At 51.2% G+C, this 23,950-nt stretch overlaps 1 protein-coding gene across 13 annotated transcripts in view; it reads right to left on the bottom strand.

Moving 5' to 3' along the window:
* PRDM11 (PR/SET domain 11) overlaps window positions 1–23,950 on the bottom strand; it is a 140,951-nt gene that overhangs the window by 53,742 nt on the left and 63,259 nt on the right. For 6 of the 13 annotated variants that reach the window (XM_011520222.3, XM_011520228.4, XM_011520224.4 and 3 more), the window contains exon 1: window positions 201–332. The exons of the other annotated variants lie outside the window; for them this stretch is intronic. The gene's annotated coding sequence lies outside the window, so the exon portion shown is untranslated. Of the gene's footprint in view, window positions 1–200; window positions 333–23,950 lie in introns of those variants that run through there. 13 annotated transcript variants of the gene reach the window in all.

Raw genomic sequence — 23,950 nt, 5'->3', positions numbered from 1 at the left:
CAAGGGGTAGTGGGCAGACCGAACGGGCCCTCAGCGCCTGGCAGGGCAGCCCCTCACCCTGGGACTGCCGGGAGCGCAGCCAGGCCCCTTTGCCAGCTCAGAGCAGGTACAGGCAGGGCCTGGGGGCGCTGGCGAGGGCCAGCCAGGGCTCCAGCCCCACCCGACTCTCTCAAGGGGACACTCCCCAGCCCGCCGCTTACCGCCCTCCACCACCGCGCCGGGCTTCAGCCCCTCCCTCGGCACCCCGGGGTCCTCATGCCAAGCCCGGGGACACTCTTCGGGGCGAGGGTGGCACGCAGCCTGGGGCTGGGACGGCGCTGGGCCCTGGGACTGGGCGAGCGGCGTGTGTGACTCACTACCCGGGGCCCCGCTGGCCACACCCCTGCTCCTCGGCTAATCAGCCCCCTGCTCCCCACCGGGGCCCCAAAGCCGGCGGCGGCGACTGGGAGGGGTGCGGGGAAACGTGACGGCCTGCCCCCTCCTCCGAGCCAGCAGGGCCGGGGGCGCGCGGTGGGGAAGGGGAGGGCTGCCCAGGCCGGGCGCGCCGCCCCCTGCCCCGTGGCCGCCCCGTCTCGGGCCGGTGTAGGCTGCGGCCGGGGCGGGCGCGGGCGGGCTCTCCCCCTCTCGCCAGCCTTCCCGGCGGGGAGCTCCCTGCCCGGCCCGGCCCGCCCGGCCCTGCCCAGCGCCCGCCCCCCGCCCGCCAGGCCCGGCATTCCTTGCGGGGGCATGTGGCTTCTTGCCGGCCCTGGGGGCACGCAGTTGGCTGGCGGCCGGGAGGGGGGCGCGCAGGGAGCGGGAGGAAGCGGGCGCCCGGGCGGGGCGGTGGGAGAGGGCGCCGCGGGGGGTCGCTCCGGGTCAGGCGGTGGACGCATTCCAGGGCCTCCCACGGGGCCCGATGCGCACTCGGCCCGGGGGGTGCCAGGGCTGGGCGACAGCGCCGCGGAGGCCGGGCGGGTGTCCCCAGCCTCCGAGCTGCCTTGGTGTGGCGGCGACGACAGGGCCTGCGCTGCCACCCGTGCGGACACCGGACACCCGCTCGCTCAGCCGCGGCCGCACCTGCACCGCCTGGGGCGCCTGCCACTCTACTGCCTCCTGGCTGCGTTATGCCAGGGACTCCCCGCTGGGTGCTCGACCGACCTCAAAGCCTGTGGGATGGCCCCCTGCCTCCTGTGAGGGCGCAGGAATTGGGGCCTGGAAGATGTCAAGCGACTTGCCGAAGGTCATGCAGACCACACCCGATGGCTGCTTAGTAAATTGGAAACTGGCTGAACCCCCAGATTCAAGTGTTTCAAGTTGGCTTCACCATGCAGTATCCTCAGTCCAGTCCTCTACCGAACAATCGCTGGGATCACCCTTAAGTGGGTTCAGGTCCCAGCTCAGAAGTCCAGCTGCCAGGTGGGAGCAAGGCCCTGTGGATTTGTGAAGGATCCCTGAACACCTGCTGCCCTGAGGAACTCTCACTGGGATGGGCAGTACCCCCCACCATACATCCTGGGGTGGAGCCTCAGTGGTTAGGTGCCTGGGCACTGGACAGGCAGTGCCTGAGTTCAAATCCCACTGATGGGCGGTGTGATCCTGGGCAGGTGTTATGGACCCCACTCCCCTTCATATGTTGAAGCCCTCAGCCCCAGAGTATCTGTATTTGCAGATGGGGCTGTGAGGAGGTGATCAAGATTAATTGAGGTCATAAGGGTTAGGTGCCCTTATAAGGAGAGGAAGACACACCAGGGCCCTCTCCACCATGAGGACACATCCAGAAGGCAGCCATCCACAAGGCGGAGTGCCACCACCAGGAACCAATAGGCTGGCATTCTGATCTTGGACTTCCTAGGCTCTAAAACCGTGAGAAATAAATGGCTGTTGTTTAAGCACCCCCATCTACGGTATTTTGTCATGGCAGCCTGAGATGACTAATACAGCAGGTTATCTAACTTCTCTGTGTTCTCATTTCTTCATCTAGAAAATGTGGCTAATAATAGATTCTATCACAGACATAGCTGTATTCCGTGGACACAGACGAGTGTGGAGGGGCCAGTCTCTGCACATCCCACTAAAGAATGCTGATCAGGAAGATGAGTGCTAGTGACATCATCAAGGGGTGGCTTCAAATTCTCTCCATTGGCTGGGATTTATTTTTTTTAAGTCAGTCATTTGGAAACTCTGACGCTTTATTGGAACGGACTGCTGAGGACTGCTTTGCATGGGGCTCCCTTGCTCTGGCCCCTCTGCCCTCCACAAGCCCCACCTGTATGCCATTCTCCATCCTGCCATGGGGCCTGTGAACTTGCTGAGTCCTAGCCTGCAGAACACCTGGGGAACTCCTATCCAGACTTCAGACCTCACTGCCCCCCTCCAACTGCCACCAAAAACACCCTCTCCTAGCCCCATGTCACACTTCATGGCAGTGTGACATGTATAACCGTCTTTTGTTAGCAGGATTACTTGATTAATATCTGTTTCCCTTAATAGACTGTAAGCTCCCCGAGGACAGGGTGCAGGCCACCATTGAACTGCCAGCACCTGTAACAGTGCCTGGCACCAGGGCCAAGACTAGGGAAAGACAAGCCAGGTACTAGGAGGCTTTCACTCTGAGGGTCATACGCTTGCAGGACTGGCACCTGAGAGTGAGAACCTCTTTCAATTTTGCACCCTGAGAACCTTGCTTGGCTGACTCTCCACTTTGCCCAGCACACAGCATATTCTCAGTAAATATTCACCAAATGTTCCCCTTCATATCTCACTGGTCCCTCTGATGTGTCCCACTGGTCCCATTGGGAATCTCAACTCTGAAAGAGACGTCAGCAGGAAAAACAGGGTGGGGGTTTGATTCCCTATGGAGCTCTCTTCCAGTGATCTCCGCCAGGCAGAGCAGGTAGTGAGAGATGCTGGCAGGGTGGGCACTGAAGGGTGCAGAGGTGCACTGGGGGGTAGGATGGAGCACTAGGGGGTAGGATGGAATTAGACTCATGAGACTCAGAGCCGGATTCTGACGATAAGTTGGGGAGGATAATCAGTGTGGCCATGGCACGTCACTTACACTTTCTAGGGCCTTAGTGTCTTCTTTTGCAAAATGGAAATACTGATACTTGCCAGGAGGAGGTGGTCCCCATTAGGAATAAACGAGGAGGGCACAGAGGGATGCGGAAGGGGTTTGGAGGGAGGATAGGCAATAGTAAGAGAATAAAGGACGGAGGGTAAGACAGGGAGAGAAGGAGGAGAGAAGGGAGAAAAGAGAAGATGAGGAGGGGAAGGGAGATTGAAAGAGAAGGACCGAGGCATATAAACGTTTTCCTGTCTTAAATCATTCCCAGCAAACCACCCCCTGTGGGCAAAGTATTACTTTGTATCTCAAAGTAGAGACATCTGTGGGCCATTTGCATTTATGTCCTATCTCTCACATCCCACCTTCACCACACAAAAGATTTGCAATGTTTTATAAAACAAACACATACTAAACAGGACAGTTAAGAAACAACCAGAGATAGTGTTAGAGGCCTCATGGAGAAAGAGGGGTGTTGGTTATGCCGGGAATCTGTTGTAAAAGGGTTAGTGATTGAGTTCTTCATTCAATTCTGAGCCTCCTGGCAGCCAAAGCATAAAGGGAAACATAATGAGTTACCGAGTCCTTATTATCTGACACCTATTTATTGACTATATGCACATATAATTTCTTTCTACTCTTGGAGCTGGCTGCCCGGAGAACCAGGATCAAGCCTCAAAGGACTAATGTGCATTCCAACTCTCAAGTGGCCCATAGACATCTCTACTTTGAAATAGACAGACTTTTGTGCTTGTGATAAAGGCCATAGGGACAGGGAGGGAGAAGATGGGATGTGGCAGGACCAAATGAACTTCCACTGGGGAGAGAGAGAGGGAGAACATGTGCTGGTGTCCTTCACTGAGTCCATCTCAGCAGACACTCTAAGGCCTGGCCCAGGTAAAGCCCCTGTTGCCTTTTCTGAAGAATGCTCTAGTCCTACCTGCCCAGCAAAAGTCTTGGGGGAAGGGGGGTCGGCAGGCTTCATGGAGGATTCCAAGCTGCTGGCAATGCTCCCTCTCAGCTGGCTCCTCTAAGTCTGCACATGCAGAGATTAGGCTTGTTGCAAACCCAGCAGTGAGCTGCAAACCCAAAAGAAGGGGGCAGAATGCAGCCCAGGAGTCTGCAGCTCTGTTTTCACCCTTGGCAGGGTGCCAGGATCCTGGAATGCCCAGGAGCCAGTGTAGCCAGGGAACTGGGGATCTGTGCCCACTTGGTTTCCCTAGAGGCTGGCACCATGAGAATCTAGAAGGTTTACTCTGGTACCTACCACAGCATCTCTGTTGTTCCCATTGATACCAAAAGGACATGAGGTTAGGGTGCTGGCCCAAGCCACATGCTGACCTTGACTTGGGCTGGGAATCCCAAGCCCTGGGTCTCAGTTCTGGCTGTGCTGTCAGTTTTTTAGGTGACCCTGATAAAGTTTCTGCCTTGCCCTCAGTTTCTCTTTCCTGTAAAATAAAAGGTCCAACTCATAGTCCTTAACAGTATACCATGTGAGAGGTGGGCAAGGGCTTGGAATTATTATAGGGAGTTATTGAATTTATATTCTCAGCAAGCATGCCTATAGAGAACATAAATATATGCCTTAAACTTACATGTATAAGACAGATTTGCAAATGAATACTTTTGTGATGAACACAAAAGATAAATGTATTTAAAAGTGTTATTGAATTCATAGAAACCTTATGTCACCATGTATTTTGTTAATCAATTAACACCAGCACAGCCACTCACAAACTGTGTAACCTTGAGAAACTGCATTAACCACGCCTACCTGGTTTCCCCATCCGTCCTGTGGCACTGATATCAGAACCTATCTCATAGGGCTGTTTAACACAGCATAATGCCTGACCTATCGTAAGTACCCTATAAATATTATCATTCATTTTATTAATATTTAAAAGTATAACAGACATCAGATGTGCACATGGTGGTGAAATTTCTGTTTTTTTAGATTGAGTCTCGCTCTGTCGATCAGGCTGGAGTACAATGGCACGATCTCGGCTCATTGCAACTTCTGCCTCCTGGGTTCAAGCGATTCTCCTGTCTCAGCCTCCCCAATAACTGGGATTACAGGTACCTGCCACCACACCTGCCTAATTTTTTGTATTTTTTTAGTAGAGACAGGGTTTCACCATGTTGGCCACACTGGTCTCGAACTCCTGACCTCAGGTGATCTGCCCTGGGATCCGTGCTGGGATTACAGGCATGAGCTACCACACCCGGCCAAAAATTGTTTGACATTAGAAGAGGGCCTTTACAAGCAGTGAATACCCCTAATAAATACTTTTTATAAATATATGCTCTGAAGATGCTTACCTCAATAGAAAAAAAAATGGATAAAAAGAAAACATGAACAAGCAATCTGCAAAGACCAATAGATGGCTAATATGCTTTAAGGAAAACCATGAAGACATTAATACTCAAATAAATACAAATTAAAACAAATAAATATCATTTCTCCTCTAATAAATTGGCAAAGATGAAAAATCTTGATGTTATTCAGAGTTGGCAAGAGTGTAGGGGAAATTAGTACTTCATATCCCACTGGTTGGAGTGTAAATTGGTGTAACCTTTCTGGAGGGTAATTTGGCACATGTATCAAAATCCTCAAAGTAAGTAAACCCTTTGTAGGAGCAAGCCCACATCCAGGAATGGATCCTAAGGATGTATTTAAATTGCGTGCAAAGATTTACCTACAAAGCTGTCCTCTGCAATATTATTTTTAAAAGCAAAAAATAGGAAAGAATTTAAACCTCCAAAATGGGGGAAATTGCTATGCTATATCACAATGAAATATTAGCATACAATGAAATAACAGACAGCAATTAACAATGCTGTAGAGGAATATTTATTGACATGAAAACACACGTTCAACATATTGCTAAATGATAATGCAAGTTATTATGTGAAAGATGCCAACCTGAAAAGGGTACATACTGTATGATTCCAACTATATGACATTCTGGAAAAGGCAAAATCACGAAGGCTGTAAAAAGATCAGAGGTTGGCAGGGGTTGCGGGGAGAGAGGAACAAATAGGTGGAATATAGAGGATTTTTAGGCAGTAAAATTACTCTGTATGATACTACAATGGAAGGCACATGTCATTGTACATTGGTCAAAACCCACAGAAGGTACAACACCATGAGTGAACCCTAATGTAAACTATGGACTTTGGTTGATAACGATGTTTCAATGGAGGTTGATCAATTGTAACAAATGTTCCACTTTGGTGTGGGATGTTAATAACCGGGAAGCTGGATGTGTGTGGGGGCAGGGTGTATGGGGAACTCTAGTTTCTGCTCAGTTTTGCTGTGAACCTAAAACTGCTCTAAAAAACAAGGATTTTGTTAATGAAAGCTATGAAAAGATAGATACAAAATAATTCCATTAAAACACTTTTAATTTCCCACACTACACAGGTGTACAAAATAATTCCACTTAAAGTCTATACATAATGATGCAGATCTGTACACATGGGTCTGGGAGGATATATTTTAAGGTATCACTAGTGGTTAGTTCAGGAGGAGGGTTGTGTATTTCTGTTTTCTTCTTTTTGCTTCTGAAAAATAGTCACTTAAATATTCTTTAGAGGACCTCTTCATAATCATTTAGTTTAGAAATTGCTAAAGAAGATAATTCCAATGACCTTTACCCACTTGTCATTAGATGCTGAGATCCTGCCAATTGGTTAGGAGAAAGGAGGAATCCAGATTAGAGACTGAGTATCAGGCACACAAGTGGCGCTTGATGCATATTTGATGAACGAATGAATCAATGACTCAATGAATCAATCAATCGGTAAGGACCCCCATATCTCTACCCGAAGCATACCTGTTTTTATTTTTGTTTAGGATTCCCATTTTGGAAGATCATGTCTACTAAAAAGACTGCATGCATTAGGTAATAATTAATTCATCTTCCTAGTTCTTTGTATACACACAGGGTGCATGATAAGCAGAGTTAATACACTGGTTAGCGGCCGTCATCCTAAGCAAAAGCAAAGAAATTTGACATGTTTGTTCACTTGTCCTACCTGATCATAGGATACTGTACAATATTCACCAAATTCAGTGGATAGAATACTATGCAGAAATGAGAATAGACAAACTACAACTACATGCTATAATCTGGATGAGTGATAATGCCAAGAAAAGAAAGGAGACCCCCAAAGAGTACAGACTCATACTGTATGATTCCATTTAAATAGAGTTACCAAAAAAAACCAACCAGCCACAACTATGGTGTTAGAGGTGAAGTTTGTGGTTATTCTTGGGAATAACTGGAAAAAGGCAGGAAAAGGAGTTCTAAGATTCTGGCCATGTTCTATTTCTTCATCTGGGTGCTCATCCCATGGGTATAATAAGTTTGTGGAAATATACTCAGCCAGCTTTTACAATATGTGCACTTTTCTGAATATATATATGTTAATAAACATAAAGAAAAACCATCTGCTGGAGCCTCCTGAGGGCAAGGAACTCCCATATGGGGACCTCTAACCCTGTCCAGTCCCTGATTTTGCAGCCGCAGGAACTGGGGTCCAGCCAGTGGAGGCTCCTGCTGGGGTCATGGAAAATGAGGTTTTGAGCTTTTACCCACAGGGCAGTCGCCACTAAGCATCATGGGTATAGCTGGCCAGGGCTGGTGGAACACATTCTCCCAAGGCGGTCCCTCCCGCAGAACTTTTTTTTTTTTTTTTTTTTGACGCGGTGTTTCTCTCTTGTTGTCCAGGCTGGAATGCAGTGGCGTGATCTCGGCTCACTGCAACCTCCGCCTCCCGGGTTCAAGCGATTCTCCTGCCTCAGCCTCCCGAGTAGCTGGGATTACAGCCGTGCGCCACCACGCCCAGCTAATTTTTGGATTTTTAGTAGAGACAGGGTTTCATCATGTTGACCAGGTTGGTCTTGAACTCCTGACCTCAGGTGATTCACCTGCCTCAGCCTCCTAAAGTGCTGGGATTACAGGCGTGAGCTACCGCGCCCAGCCAGAACTTTTTTATGTGTTTGCTTCTCACAGTGGATCCTGCTGGTGGCTTCTATGGTATCCGTTACCTCATTACTCCCCACTGGAAGTTGGACTTTGTTCAGGTGCCACACCTCCCTTATAGGACCAACTAAGTGAGATTCAGAGACACCGAGCCTTTGCCCAGCACCAGGGCTGGGCTCAGGTTCATCTAAGCCAATTCTAGCAATGCCACCTCCCTCCCCAATGACTGGATCAGGAACCTGGCCTTTAATCAGCACATGACATTTCCCTCCAAGATCAGACATTTGACTTATTTTGACCAAATCAAAGGGAAGGGAAGGGCTTTTATTTCATGACTAGAAGGAGAAAGCACACAGCCATTGTTGCAAATGGGAGCCATGTCCTGCAGAGGACCCCAGCAGGAAGCATCTTCAGCATGAAGCGAGTTCCTCAGAGCAGGGGGACAGGGTGGTAGGACAAGAAACACACATTCATTTGCACCCTGGTATCTGAGGGGAATTGGTTCCAGGACCCTCTCTGATACCAAAGTCCAAGGATGCTCAAGTCCTGGATATAAAATAGCATAGTATATGCACATAACCTTTGGATATCCTCCCATATACTTTAAATCATCTCTAGATTACTTATAATGCCTTATACAATGTTAATGCTATGTAAATCACTGCTATACTGTATCGTTTAGGGAATAATCACAAGGAGAAAGTCTGTTGAGCCATGGCTGGTTGAATCCATGGATGCCCATGGATAGGAGGGGTTGACTGTATTTGGTCTTTGTCCCTGGTTCCTGGCTAATAAAACAGAGCTCCTAAAACCTTGGAATTTCCTGGGTTATAGGAGTGTCTTTGGTGCTTCATAAGGAGCCCCACCGGATCATACCTGAGTTTATGCTAATGAGATGACTGAGGGTGGGACCCCCCAGATAGCTTCAGGATGAGGCTGAGTCACCAGAAAGAACACGTGATTGGAAGGTTGGAACTTTCAATCCCAACCACTGGCCTCTGGCAACAAGAAGAGGGGCTGGAGATGAAGCTCTGTGAAGACTCTTGAAGGAGATTTAGAAAACTTCTGGATTAGTGAACACAGCAAGGTGCTGGAAGGGTGGAGGGTCCAGCGAGAACATGGAAGCTCCAGGTCCCTTCCTCTACACCTTGCCCTGCACAGCTCTTCCATCTGGCCGTTCCTGAGTTGTAGCCTTTATGTAAACCAGTAATAGTAAGTAAATCACTTTCCTGAGCTTTGTGAGTTATTCAAGTGAATTATCACACCTGAGAAAGGGGTTTGTAGGAGCCCTGGATTTATGTTGGTCAGAGGTACAAGTCCCCTGGGACTTATGACCAGTGTCTGAATTGAGGGCAGTCTTGTGTAACTGAGCTCTTATCTTGTGGGGTCTGCACCAGCTCTAGATAGTTACAGAATTGAATTGAATTGAATTGTTGGACACCCAGTTGGGTTGGAGAATCCAAGAAGGGGCTGGTGTTGGGAACCATCTCAGAGACAGAAACTGTAACTGACACGGTTGAGGTGCTGAACCAACAGGTCCTGAAATCCACGCTACCTCTGCACTTCCTCTTACACTGCTTTATTGCCTGGGCCTGTCTGCAACAGGGTTTCTGTCACCTGCAGCCATGAGCCATCCTCACTGGGACACTGCCCTATCAAAGGGGCAGATTCCCTCTATCCCCAGTCCCATTCCAGATGGGCCCAGCACTCTGCCTGTGCCTCTGTAAAGCATCTGCCTTGATGGTGCCTCAGCCTACAAAGGGGCAAACAGGGTGGGGCCACAGCATCTCATCACCAGCCACCCCTCTCCCTTAAGCCCAAGATCTGCACTGAAGTGACATCCTGGGCATTCTCTCCAAAGCATTGCTGGTGGGAGTGTAAACTAGTAGCATCAGGGAGAGCAATTTGGCACTGGGGAACTTTAAAAAATCCACATAACCGGCTGGGCACGGTGGCTGAGGCCTGTAATCCCAGCACTTTGGGAGGCCGAGGTGGGTGAATCACCTGAGGTCAGGAGTTCAAGACCAGCCTGGCTAACATGGCAAAACCCTGTTTCTACTAAAAATACAACAATTAGCTGGGCGTGTTGGTGGGTGCCTGTAATTCCAGCTACCCAGGAGGCTGAGGCATGAGAATTGCTTGAACCCAGGAGGTGGAGGTTGCAGTGAGCCTAGATTGCACCATTGCACTTGAGCCTGGGTGACAGAGCAAAACTCCATCTCAAAAAAAAACAAAACAACAAAACAACAACAACAACAACAAAAAACCCATAACCTTCAATCCTACAACTTCTAGGAATTTCTCCAAGACATCTGTGCAACAGTATTCCTTGCAGCACTGTCTGGGATAGCAAAAGACTGGCAACAACCAATGTACCCATGGAGGGGGATGGGGTGGTTGGTTAAATACCACACAGCACAGCCACACAACAGAGAGTGAGCAGTTTCAAAGAAGGAAGCCATGGAACAGACCTAACCCCTCCTCCATGGCTGCCACCCTGCTCTAAGCCACTACTCCCTCTTCCCGGAATGGCTTCAGAGACAGCCTGACTCGTGTCCCTCCTTCCACTCTACCCCTACTGTCCATTCCCCACCCACAGTCAGGGTGTACCTGTTATAACATAAGGCAGGTCAAGTGCCCTCTGCCCTCCACTCAAAACCCCCATGGTGCCCCATTTCATGCAATGCAAACACCAAAGCTCTTCAGCAGTGTGCTGGCCTGACAGTTTGTTCCACTCCCTCTGAGATTTCCTCCCTTCCTACTCCCCACCCCACATCACAGCCACAGGGGCTGCCCTGCTCTGCCTCCAACATGAGCCTTAGCACTGGCTATTCCCTCTGCCTGAGATGCTCTTCCGCCTTATACCCATGTGGCTTGCTCCCCTACTCCCTCTAGGCATTCACTCAATGTTACTTTCTCTGGCTTCCCTATATAATATTGCAACTCCCTGATGCTTGCTACCACTCCTTCTTTGCTGGATTTTTTTCTTTTTTTTTTGAGACAGTGTCTTGTTCTGTCACCCAGGCTGGAGTGCAGTGGTGTGATCTCACCTCACTGCAACCTCTGCCTCCTGGATTCAAGTGATTCTCCTGCCTCAGCCTTCCTAGTAGCTGGGATTACAGGTGCCTGTCACCACGCCTGGCTAATTTTTGTGTTTTTAGTAGAGACGGAGTTTCGCCATGTTGGCCAGGTTAGTCTCGAACTCCTGATCTCAGGTGATTTGCCCGCCTCAGCCTCCCAAAGTGCTGGCATTATAGGCATGAGCCACCCTGCCTGGCCCCTTGCTTTATTTTTCTCCAGAGTGTGTGTCACCATCAAACTTAAGCAGCACTTCTGTCTGCCTCCCCAAATAGAATGTCAGCTCCAGGAAGGTAGAGATATTTCTCTGTTTTGTTCACTGCTACATCCCCTGAAACTAGAGCAGTGCCTGGTGCAAGATAGGCACATGATAAACATTTATCGAATGGATTACTCATTTGGTGGTGAAACAAAACCAAAGTTAGGAAGAGAACACGTCATGGGAGAGACAGCAGAAAATGGTGGTTAAGAGCATGGACTCTGGTGCTGGGCTGCCTGGATTCAACTTCCAGCTGCATTATACCATCTGTGTGACACTGGGGGAGTTCCTTAACTTCTCTGGGCCTGGGGATATCAAAACCCATTTATGCCTAGTGTTCTATTATTGGAAAGCTAAGCATGTGGGAGTTATTTACATCCTACTGCTCAAGGTCATTGCCAAGGTCTGATTGCAAAAATTCAAAAACTTGCAACCTCAGGCATAAATGGGTTAATAGCACCTACTTGGTAAGGCTGTTATGAGAAATAAATGAATTAACATGTGTAATACACTTGGAACATTATCTGGCACAAAGCCAGTAAGCGGTAAGTGTGTTATATAAAACAAACAAGCCCCAGTTGCATAAAGTGTTAAAGGACATACACATTTAGATGTGCTCATATATTCTCAAAACAGCTCTAGGCTGTGACAGTTGATGCTCCTAGACTGAGGGCTAGAGGAGGAGAGGTAGTTACTGCTTACTGAATTTTATACCAGATGCATGCATTTCTGATTTTAAAAATATACTAGTGATGCCTAGGGGCTATTAATTGTTGAGGTTGGGTGATAGGTATGTGGAAGTTTATTATACTTTTCTATCTACTTTTTTTTGCACAATAAAAAGTAACAAATACTTATCAGTATTACTAGAATTAAAATACAAGTCCCAGGTTGCCTCTCCCCCACCCCCACCCCAAGCATGTCAGTGATTCGGGGTGAGGCAGGCAGAGGGGGCTCCTCCCAACCACTGCTGTACCTGTGGAAGAGGGCCCTGAAGTCCTAACAGTTCCCTGAGGCCAACCTGGCTCCACAACTCCAAGTACCCGGTCAGCCACAGCCAAATAAGAATTGGGGAGAAGGGGGTGTGGCCTGTGGAGGGCCAGGGTCAGGCTGCCAGGAGTGCAGTCTCTGGGCTGAAGCCACACTTTCAGATGGCAAAGTGGCGGCTGGGAAGATCACGACTGAAAGAGGCCTGGATGTGTAGATTCCTCTAAGGAGAATCAGAGCTGTCCTGCATTGACCACTTGCCGGGTGCTGGAGACCCAGTGTGTCCTCGTCTAGCCAGCTCCTTAACCCCATGATGTAGTGAGGAAGCCAGAGAGTGTTAAGTGATCTCCCCACACATTACACCTGTGGCTCTTAGTGGGCAGGGCTGGGATTCCAACCTGGGTAGAGCTGAAAGGATGCCCAGAGATGCCCTGACCCAAGCCCCACCTTTCTAGACAAGGAAAGTGAGACCCAGAGGGGAGGAAACCTCAAGGCCACCGGAGGAGGCAGAGGGAGACAGGAACCCACCGCCAGCCACTCGGCGCAGGCAGCCCCTACCCTTCTGAACATTGTGCAAGGCCCTCATACCTACACTCCTCCCAATTCCTGGAGTTGGGGGTCTCTATTTGGGGATGTAGGACCTGAGGAAACACCATGAGGTTCTTTTTCAGTGTTTTGGTTACAAGGAAAGGGGACCCCTGTCTGGACCACAGGACCCAGAGGAGAAGGCTTGTAGATGGAGGGGCTGCAGGGGCATAAGGAGTCCAGGGAACCTGACCACGGCCCACAGCTCCTGCCCCCATCAACCTTTACTTCTCCCCCATCCCCTTCTCCTCCCTCCCTCGCTGTTCCATCCTGCCCTGCTATTCTCACTGGCTGTGTATTTGCCCAATCTTGCCCAGAATCTCAGAATTAAAGACACCTCAACAGTCATCTAAATCCTTGCTTCTCAAGCTATGGTCTGTGGACTGGCAGCCTCGGCATCTCCTGAAACTTGTCTGAAATGCAGAATCCTGAGTTCTGCACCGCAGTCCTCCTGACTCAGTTGGCCTAAGGTGATTTGTACGCACATCGAAGTTGGAGATGCACTAGTCTAAATCAGAAGATGCTTGAAACCACAGTATACATCATCCCGAAGCATGCATAAGTACCTCCAGCAACAGGGAACTCACTATCAGGCAGCCAGCTCACCATTCCAATGGACGAGTATGGCGTGTGTGTGTGTGTGTGTGTGTGTGTGTGTGTGTGTGTGTGTGGTGTGAAATGAGAGAGGCAGTCCTCCTTGGGTCCTAAGCATCCCTAAACATCCTTGCTGAGTATATCCACCTGCAAGGCCTCACTATCCTCTGACTCTGAATCATTTCTGCTGCTAGTGATATAGGTAATTAAGTTGGTCAAGGAGACATTGGTGTGAACACTGTGCAACTGCTCACTCCCTGGAGAAGGGAAACTTAGTTGTTTATGGCTTGCTACAAAAGCTGCTGAGCCCTCAGCCCTGAGTTCTTCTGGTGCAACACAGCCCACTGTGAATAGTTGCCATCTGGGCCAACCCATGGGACTCGGGAGTAGGGTAATCCCTACTGATGATCCTGATGTTTGCTGTGAATAATAAACTGTCTTGCTGATCCATTGACTCTTGGCCACTTTTAGCACCTACACTATGTGACCTAGGGTTCTTCCATGATTGTGATAGTGTGTATGTGTGTGTTTATGTGTGCACGTGTGTGTCATTAGTGGTCATTACTGAGAATTAAGAACCTTCTCATGTATTCATGGAAAGGCTCATACATGTAAGCTCCAATAAGACCTTGACTTAAAAGAATTCAAAGGGAATCTGACCTTTCTTGAGCACCTACTTTGTGCCAGGCTTTGTGAAAGTGAATTCCATTTTTGTATGATCTCACTTAATCCTCTCTATAACCCTGCAGGGTGAATTATACCCCCTTCCTACATTTGATGAAATTGAAGCTGAGTGCAGCTCAGTCTCACAAGAGTAACAAACAATATGAATGAGCTGGGCTGAGCAATAAAGAAGTAAACAAAGAATGAGATGATTTCAGAGAATAATATCTGTGAATTCAAAGTGATGTGATCACTAGTGATTATAATTACTGTATGTCAAGTTTGCCAAAACAAATGGGCATACTTGGGCTTCTCTGGCTGATCCAGCAAGTGGAGGAGGAGGCACTGTGGAGCTGTGACACTCGACCAGGAAGGCAGGTGCAGCTCAGAAGGCGGAAGTCCTCCAGGAAGGAGGTGGAAGGGGCATGGATGTGGCTGATGCCCAGCTCTGTGTCGGGTGTTTTACATACTCTGTGAAGCATTATCTGTTCACTCACTCTTCTGTGTTCACATCCTACCAAGTGCCAGGCACTGTCCTAGGTGCTAGGAACCATGGGTGAACAAGGTCGCCACCCTCAGGGGGCTTGCAGCCCAGTTAGAATATTTATGCATTTGCCTGCTGGCATCCAGGCCCCCTGGTGTCCCTGGGGAGCCCCCATCTCCAATGCTCCACTCCATGGGTAAGAGTGCCACTGAGGACTGACCAACCAGTGCTCGTATCTGCAGGCCAGCCACAGTGATTGGTGCAAGAGAGGATACAGGGTCTAGCCAATTTGTGAGCTACAATTCTGGGGCTCTGGGGGACTCTGCTGGAAAGAGAAGGGCCCTTTCATTGCAGGGATTGCTGAAAGGATAGAAGGGCGAATCTGCTGTGGGCAGGGGCACAGCCAACCACTGTGCCACCTCATACAACAGCCTGCCCATGAATGGAGCCATACCTAAGAAAGCAGGGCAGGATGGACGGAACAAGTCCTGAGGACAGTGTAAGCCCCTGGATCCAACTGTACCTGAAGCTCTCAAGATCCTCCTAGAGCTTCTGCTGAGCCCATAAATTCCATTTTTTGACTACTCTTGTTTGACTTGAGTTTCAGTCAGTTTGTAATTAGTCCTGTCCACAACCTAGTAAGCAGTTTTACTTTGTTTTTCAGATAGGAATGGAGGCTCAGAGAGGTTAAGTGGCTTGAACAAGGCTGCACAGCAGCTGTCTGGAGTCTGTGCAATGCAAAGCCCACACTCTTTTCTCTACTCCCAGGTGGCAGTGTAGCATGGCGGGGAGACAGGCTGCAATGGGAGGGGGTCTTCCACGGCAGGGAGTGAAGGGCCCATTAACTAGAAGGAAAGCCTGCTCCCTCCTAGACAGGCCTGCAGAGAGGCAACGGCAGAAAGGAAGCACAGGCTGCAAACTGGTGACTGTTCTTTTTTTCCATTTTTATTTTTGCCAACTTCGAAGAAACAGAAGATTCCATGTAAAAACGTGGATGTTCAGCTTTTCTGGGAAATCCGAAGGGCTGGCAACACCACGCGGGCAGTCCCACATGGCAACGATCCCCTGGAGCTGGGTGGTGGCCCTGCTCAGATGGGCAAGGGCAAGGCACTCACTCTCCAGGTCTCCAGTCAGCCTGTGTCATTCACATGTGCCCCCCGCCTGGGCTGGGCATCTGAGTGTGCGGCCTGCGTGGCAGAGACCACAGTGCTGTGCAGATGCCACCCCCTGAGAACCCAGCCTCAGAGGAGATGAGGGTGCTGGGCTGGGGACTCACCAGCCCCCCAGTCCCTCCCATTCTGGCTGCTTCCAAATCCCCAGCACCCAGAACGGTTGCTGGCACCGGCAGGGCTCAATACATATTTGGTGAATGGATGAAGACAATGAGAGGGCATCAGTTGGAGATTTCCAGGAGTACCCCATTAGCAGCCCTGTAAATCCACTCCCAAGGGGCATGGGAGAGGCGAGGAGGGCAGGAACAAGGGCAGCCCTGCAGTCCACTGGCAAGAGGCAGCTTGGTGAAGAAGCTGGGAACATGGGCTCTGGAACAGGACTCCCTGGATGAGAATCCCAGCTCTACGACTTACTAACTATGCGATCTGGAGAAGTTATTTCACCTTCTGTGCCTTTCGTTACCCCCGCCCCCTGCCACATAAAATGGGGATGAGAGTGAAATCAGGTTGTTGTGAGTGAAGTTATAAGCAGACGGTAAATAACTGTTACTCCAACCTTGTCCACAGAGGCATAGACCTTGGATAAATCCCTTTCCCTCTCTGAGCCTCAGTTTACCCATCTGCACAATGAGGCCTTTGGGATTTTCCTTTAGGATCTGCTGGCTCTGGCATTCTGTGAAACTCAGGGTCATGCAACTCCAGAAGCTGGGCCCCCAAGAAGCATTCAAGCAGATCTCAGGGGTCTCTCTGCCAAGCCGTTCCCACCATCGAGGTCAAAACACACCCGAAGGACCATCACGGTGAAACCACTGATTCGAAATCCCTTTAGATTTAGCCCAAGTTCCAGCCTCAGGATCTGCTGTGGCTCATTTACCCCAAATCATGATAACCCAAAGGCACAGGGACATGGCTGGAAGGAGCCAGCCCTGGTGGCTGTCCTGAGGACGGCCCTCCCAAGAACCTGCAAGAGGGGCTCACCACAGCCCTCACGGTGGCTGGCGCCCTGGCAGCCAGCTGGCAGAGCCATTTCCATTTCTCTTGCACGCCCCCAGATGGGAAATGATTCATGAAAACCAAGAAGGTAAAATTAGCCCAAAGGCTGCCGAGTAATTTATGCAGCCAACAGCCCCAGGAGGGAGGGGAGGCCCGCACTGACAGCTCAGGCTGGCCTCCCAGGGGCTGGCAGAGCGCAGCCTGGCCAACTGGAGCCTCTGTCTCCGGGGTCTTCTATTTCTGGACTCAGCTTCCCAGGCTGTTGGCAAGGCTTCCAGCGCTTTCCCTGACCTTACGCTGCCCACTCACCAGACCTAAAGGATGCTGGATACACTCCACCGGGGACCCGCGGGGTGCTGGGGAGTCACACATACCCACCTGTTCTATCCTCACCTCAATCTCAGGAGGAAAGTTTCAGATCCCCCATCTTTCAGGTGCAGAAACTGAGTGAGGTTCAGAGGGGTTAAGTGGGTAGCCAAGGGTAAGTGGCAAAGCCAGGATTCAAACCTGGATCTCATGAGCTCCGTGAGCTGCGCCTTCCCTGCATGCTGGCTGCTGGCTGCCAAACCTCAGGTTCTCCATGGGGTGAGGGGAGTGGATCCTGGCGAGCCCCACCACACCGTCATGTGCTTTTCACAGTCTCAGGACCATCCAACACCAGAATCTGACCCTCAACTCCAAGCCCAGTTGTCCCAATGGACAAGGTATTCAATATCCCAATCTCTTAAATAGGGGCTGAGGAAGTATTGGTCTGCAGCTCCTTCTTATGGGAGGGACAGAATAACAGGTATCAGCAAGCTCCATAGTCTCACTTTACAGGGTGGTGCACCAAGGCCCAGAGAGGGAAAGGGACTTACTCAAAGCCACACAGCAAACATGTGGTTGAGCCTAGGCTAGAACTGAGTCCTCCTGCAGAGATCCTGCTGTCAGAGCTATTTAGGAAGAGTGCAAATCTGAGTGGAGGTGGGGGAATTCCCTACGATCAGGAGCAGCTGAGGTGGGAGTTACTTCCTGGGACCACCGGGTACCCCCCCCCATCCTCAAGCACCTGCTCCCACCTTTGGGACACACAGGGGCCACCTGAGCAGCAGAGGAGGGCTCCTCAGAAGGCAGTAGGTGAGGCACACTGGAATCCCGCTCCATGCCTGTGGGACCTTGTCCAAGACCTTGGTTAAAGATGGGCTCGTTATTGAAAAGAAATGAAATCGAAATGAAAAATGTGTGCATTTAAATCACCCAGTAGGCTGGGAGTGATCCATAGGAACTTGAAGGGTCAGCACGCATGCTGGCCCAGTGCCTGTCTTCAGACCCTCTGGCTCCCCTGGTTTTGCCCGGAGGAAGACCAAGACCAGCCACAGGTGACACACACAGCTACCCATGGAGAGGGAATTTGCCTCTGTTCCCCGGGGGCACACAGCTGAGCTCCAGTGTGGACAGCTGGGAGCAGTACCACCCACTCCTTGGGACACAGTTGAGAGCATCCCAGTTCAGGCACCGTCTCCCCAGAGTAACTGCAACTGCCAGGGCCCAAGCCCTGAGCTCAGCACTTCCAAATATCACCACACTGGACCCTCCCCATCAGTGCTGAAGGAAAGGTGAGAAAACCGACATGCAGAGAGCCTGGAGTTGCTTGCCCAAAGCTTTCCATTCATTCAGAGATTATTTATTCGACACATTTACCAAGCACCTGCCATGTGTCAGGCATGGTGCCAGGAGTGAGAAAGGCGCACTGCCACCTTAATGATCCCCCGACCATCAGAGGCTTTATAGCATCGTGGCTCCCATACATCCTCTGAAGCTATACTGCCATGATTCAAATCTCAGCTTCCTCCAATATGATCTTGGGAAGCCACTTAACTTCCCTGTGCCTCAGTTTCCTCGGCTGTATCTACCTCATGATGCTACCCTGAAGATTAAGTGAAATGTCACAGATAGTGCCTGCCACATAAGTGCTCAGTAAATATGAGTGGTTATTGCTGAGCCAGAACCCAAAGCCTGTGTCCCTCTGACACTATGTTCTTAAAACTAGACCAGGTCAGTTTCTTTGGTGTGACCCAGCAGCAGGCTCTGTGAGGGCCTACATCTAGAATTAGAAGGTGGGTTTGAGGTTTCCTTCTGCATCCACTAGCTCAGAGAGGCCCTTTGGGCCTCTCTGAGCCTTACTTTCTCCAGCCTAAAAATGGGTCCAATGATGGCTGCTCACCTGCCTCCCTGGGAGAAGCACTGGAGCCCCCAGGGCTGCTGCAACCCCTGCCCACACCACAGGACAGGTGTAGAGAGCGATACCTCACCCCAGACGGGTAGACAGGCCTCAGCTGAAGCAGCCACCCTCTGCTGCCTGCCCCCTCTAGGTACCCAGAGGGTCCAGGGCTGGTGCTGGGGAAGGGCAGGGCCCAGGGCAACCCATGGTGCTTCTCGCCTCTTAGGAAATAATCCCAAACCTCTGTGCTCAATGAACACACACGCCACTGCCCAGAGGGCAGGAGGCCAAGCTGTGTGGCCAGGAACCTTTTGCCAAGACTGTCACATTAGGTCGCCTCATGAAAAAGAACCGGACAGGGAACCAGATGGCCTGGCTACCATTCCCAGCCCTGCCGGTGGTGACCTATGTGGCTTTGGGAGAGTCGCATGACCTCCTGGAGCCTCAGTGTCTGCATCTGTGAAATGACCTTGGCCAGGCTGCCTGTTTTTCCAGCGTGGCTGCAAGGAGCTGCTTAGGCAGCAGCATCAGTGTGGTTTGGAGCCTGAAAGGGGGGTGTGAGGAAAACAGCAAACAGACCATGCTTTCCAGCACTAAATAAATCATCAGCTGCACCAATTTGCCCCCGGGGCTGCGAGGCCAACCCTGACCTGGATCAGCCAGTGTGGCCCAGAGCCGTCCCGGGACTCTCAGGGGAAAGGCTGGCCCCAGACTGCTTTCTTCTCCTGCCCACCCTGCAGGCCAAGGGAGATCAAATCCGCAGCCACAACGAACCTCATTGACAGCCGGGAAACCTGCCTGAAGGATGGGGTTACGGTATGAGGCTCCTGGCCACCTGTGCCAAGCAAGGGGTCAGGGTGACCTTCTTCCCTCCCCGTAGGCTCTGGTCCAGACCCTTCGGGGCCAAGCCAGGATGAAATCCGATTGCCCGCTGCATTCCCAGGCAGCAGCCTCCACCAGGATGTTAGCGGACAGCGGGACAAAGCCGTCACCAAGTCCGGAGCCACGCAGACTGCCCTCTGGGAGCACAGGCCCCCAGCCCATGGAGGTGGGATCCAGGGCTCATTCAGAGAAGACACCCTGGGAAAGTAACATTACTGGGCATTTACTGTGTGTCTGCATGGCACATGGTAAACACTTCACATGTGTTAGCTCACTCGGTCCTCAGCAGTGCCAGGATGTAGGTGCTGCTGTTATCTCTATTGGACAGAGGATAGAACTAAGGCACAGAGAGGTTATGTGGCATTCCCAGAGTACCCAGTTGGTAAGGGGCTGAGCCAGGATTTGAACTGCGGCATTATGACTCCAGAGCTCACTTCCTACAACAGCTGCCCAAGAGAGACGTCACACAAAGCCATGCCTTTGAATGAGGGCAGAAAACCCTGTATGTGAAGGAAAGAAGGCTCCAGGGGCCACAGCCACTGTTTTCAACTCTCTGAGGGCTAGCAGGGGCCAGGAGAGCTGACTTTCTCTCTGGCTCTAAAATGGAGAACCAGCAATAGTGAAGGACTCACAGGGAAACATTTGGTTCTATGCAGTCTCAACAGACAGATTTTAAACATTGTACAATAAACTTTAAAAAGTGCAAAAGGTTCCCCAGACCCAGCAGTAGCTGCTCTAGATATGTGCAAGGAGGCACTAGAATAAAATCAGAATTTACCCAAATGTCAGTGGTGGGGGGATGGTTAAATGACGATCCTTTCTAAAACCTACTGTGTGGCTAGATTTCCCAGATACAATGTTAAGTGAGAAAAGCAATTTGCAGAATAATCTGTACTACATGAAACCATTTGTTTAAACACATACACACACACCCACACACTCTGCAGTGGTACGTATTCCTATAAATTATGTGTGTTGACATATAGAAAAAGATCTAGAAGGATATATACTAGAGTCATGACCATGACAGTCAACGCTCCAGAGAAATCTGGAATGTTGTGATCATCAAGAAAGACTTTAGTTTATTTGTTAATATTTGATTTTTTTTCAAAGTAAAAATGTATTTGTATATTCCTTATATAATTGAAATGTAGTAAAACAAAAATTAAAAGATCCAATGAGCTGCCTTGGGAACCAGTGGGCTACCAGTCCCTGGAGGCATGCCAACAGCTCTCTTGGGGTGGAGGGAATTAGAGGAAATTTAAACACCACAAGGTATCTAAAGGGGTGAACACCCATTCTGAACCTCGGGAGCCCCAGCAGGGAAGTCAGAGCAAAAGCCTTTACTCTCTCTACTCGCATCAAGAGTTGCTATAAGGAAGCACAGAGCATCAGACCCTGCAGAAGGGAGAGGCTGGAGTTGTGGATCTTCAATGTGACTCAAGAAGAAATGGGTTGGGCAGTCAGAGGCGCACAAGCCAACTCTTCAGAGTCTACCTTGCCCCAGCCATCTTCCCCCAGTGACTCCTGGCCCATTCTGTTTCTGCAGCCCCCAGCCCTGGCCAATTGTGACCAGCTTCAGGGATGCTTCAGGGATAAAGGCTGTGTCCCTAAGAGGATCTGACACTGGTGTCAACAGTTCAGGAAGGAAGGAGGAGAAGAAAGCAGTTATAAATGCTCACAGAGCTAACTGCCACTGACGGTGACTAGTACTAAGCCCAGGCAAAGGCCCAGGCAGGCCCATAAGCCCCGACCCCAAACATAGACTGAGCCTGTGAGCCCTGGCCAGACCCTGACAATACAGCAAGCAGAGGCCAAGGAGGCCATTACCTCCAAGACAGCTATGTGGTCACGAGGAGAGTCAGGACATGTGGGTCTAAGTCCCTGATGTCCCACAAGACCTTGACAAAGTTGCTGAACCCTCTGGGGCCTCAACTCCTTCATCCGCAAACTGGGCGAACAGTAGCTACTCCCAAGCTTGCTGCACAGATGAAATGAGACCAGGCCCACTTAGCCTCTTTGTGAACCACAGGGACTCCCACAACATGTGAGGCCCACCCACGCCTCAGACACTGGGCTCTGAGAAAAGGGGGTGGCAACAATTGAGCTCCAGAAGCAGCCAGACTGCTGCCAGGCCAGGAGCCCAGGGCAGCCAGGAAGGAGGCCACTGCTGGGCCCAGGAGGCAGCAGGCGGAGGGTTCTCCAGGATGGAAGGGTCCAGGAAGAAATGAGAGTGAGTCTAAAAGGGCAGAGGAGACTTTCTTGGCCACTGTCCTGGGCCTGGGGCCAGGGTGCTCAGGGAGGGCAGGGGAGCCACTGGCAGGTGCCAGGGAGGAGTCTGGTTTCTAACCGAAGCCCGGGGAGCAGACCCCTGGGAGCTGGGCCAGTGGGTCCTTTCCTCACCGGTAGCTGAGGGAACTGGGACAGGGCAGGCCACAGAACTAGGAAGGGGGGGCTCAAGGAGAGGGAGGGCGGAGCACAGTCCCCGGGAGAAGCCAAGACAGGCTGCGATGAGCAAAGGGGCCAGACTGTGCCCCTGGACCCGGACACGGACAACCTTGGAGGATTTGATTAGGAGGTCTTGCTGAGAAGTGGCAGAAGCCATGCACAACAGGCTCAGGGTGTCTGTCCTTAGAGAAGGGGGGGCACCGAGAAGCAAGGAGGTCTCAGCAGGCCTGCACAGTGAAAGGATCAGCTTTGGGGAAGGGTGGAGCAGAAAGACGAAGCCTGAGTTAGGCTCAGCTGTCCCAGGGCCTGCTCCCCAGCTCCCGTCAGGGAGGCCCTCGCTCTATGGCAAGTCATGAGTTCAGTGTGGGACCAACCAAGTCGGGTACAGCAGACAGGGTGAGGACTCTAATCCTGAGCCTCCACACATGACCAAGACCACTGTTAAAACTAAGGCACCTCAACAACTCCTGCCTTCCTGGCCCTGAAGCCAGAGCCTGGACAGAGAAGAATGCCTGCCCAGCCCCGTTCTGTAGGACCCCAGGCAGCTGGACTCCCTGTTGAACAGCAGCCAGACAGCCCGGCCTGCTGCTGGGGCCCAGCCTGTCTGGGAGCTGCAGGGAGGGAGGCAGGGGCTGGGCCACCCTGAACTGGGGCCCCAGAGGAGGGTGGAGGTGGGGCAGGCAGGAGAGGCGCTTCCAACAGTTCCTTCCCAGGCAGGGCCTCCGTGGGCTTGTGGCCACATGCAGGCCCAGGCACACCTTGGTCTGTTCCCAGCAGCCCTGGGACAGGGCAGGTCAGTTACTCTAGGGACAGGAGGCTGTGACAGAGTTGAAGACCAGCGACTCCCTGACACTGCACTGTCTGCTTTGAACTGGGCTGGGTTGGGAATGACTTTAACTTTTCCCTCGCTACCTCAACCAGATGTTTGCTCCTCAGGCCACAGAGGCAGGTCTCAGCCCTGGCCCATCAGAGGATCCATGCAGGAAGCCACTTCAGCCTGCTGCCCACTGCTCACCTCCTGCACAGACCCCATGCCATCAGAGACCAGGTACCCAGGGCCTGGGCAATGGCCCAACCTCAGCTCAAACTTCAGCCCTCCCTTCTGACAGCTTTCCCTGAACACGGCTCTGGACTGTACCCCAAACTGTACCCAGCACCCATTTGACAGCCCACCAGTCCACGTTCCTGCAGCTCTAGTAGGGCAGGCAGTGTGGACAAGAGAGTTCTGCCATGGCCAGCCCATGACCCCAGGTGTGACCCCACCAACCAGGCCAGCCTGGAAAGGCCATGCTGCTCACACCCGAGGGCTGCCTGCCCATCAGCCAGGACCGACTCAGGGGACAAAGAGAGGCCTGTGCATCAGCAACCTACTCCACAAGACACAATCGAGGAACAGCCTTCTGGGAGGTTGGCGGTGGAAAGGAAGCATACACCTGGATGGCCTCTTTGGTCCTCTAAGGCGTAGGTCCCCAACCCCTGGACCACGGATGGGTACTGATCCATAACCTGTTAGGAACCAGGTTGCAGAGCAGGAGACGAGTGGCAGGCGAGCTAGCAAGCATTAACGCCTGAGCTCT

Source organism: Homo sapiens, chromosome 11 (assembly GCF_000001405.40).
Source record: "Homo sapiens chromosome 11, GRCh38.p14 Primary Assembly".
Classification (NCBI taxonomy): Eukaryota; Metazoa; Chordata; class Mammalia; order Primates; family Hominidae; genus Homo; species Homo sapiens.
Note: the sequence above shows the minus strand (reverse complement) of the source record. Positions and strands in the feature narration are given on the sequence as shown.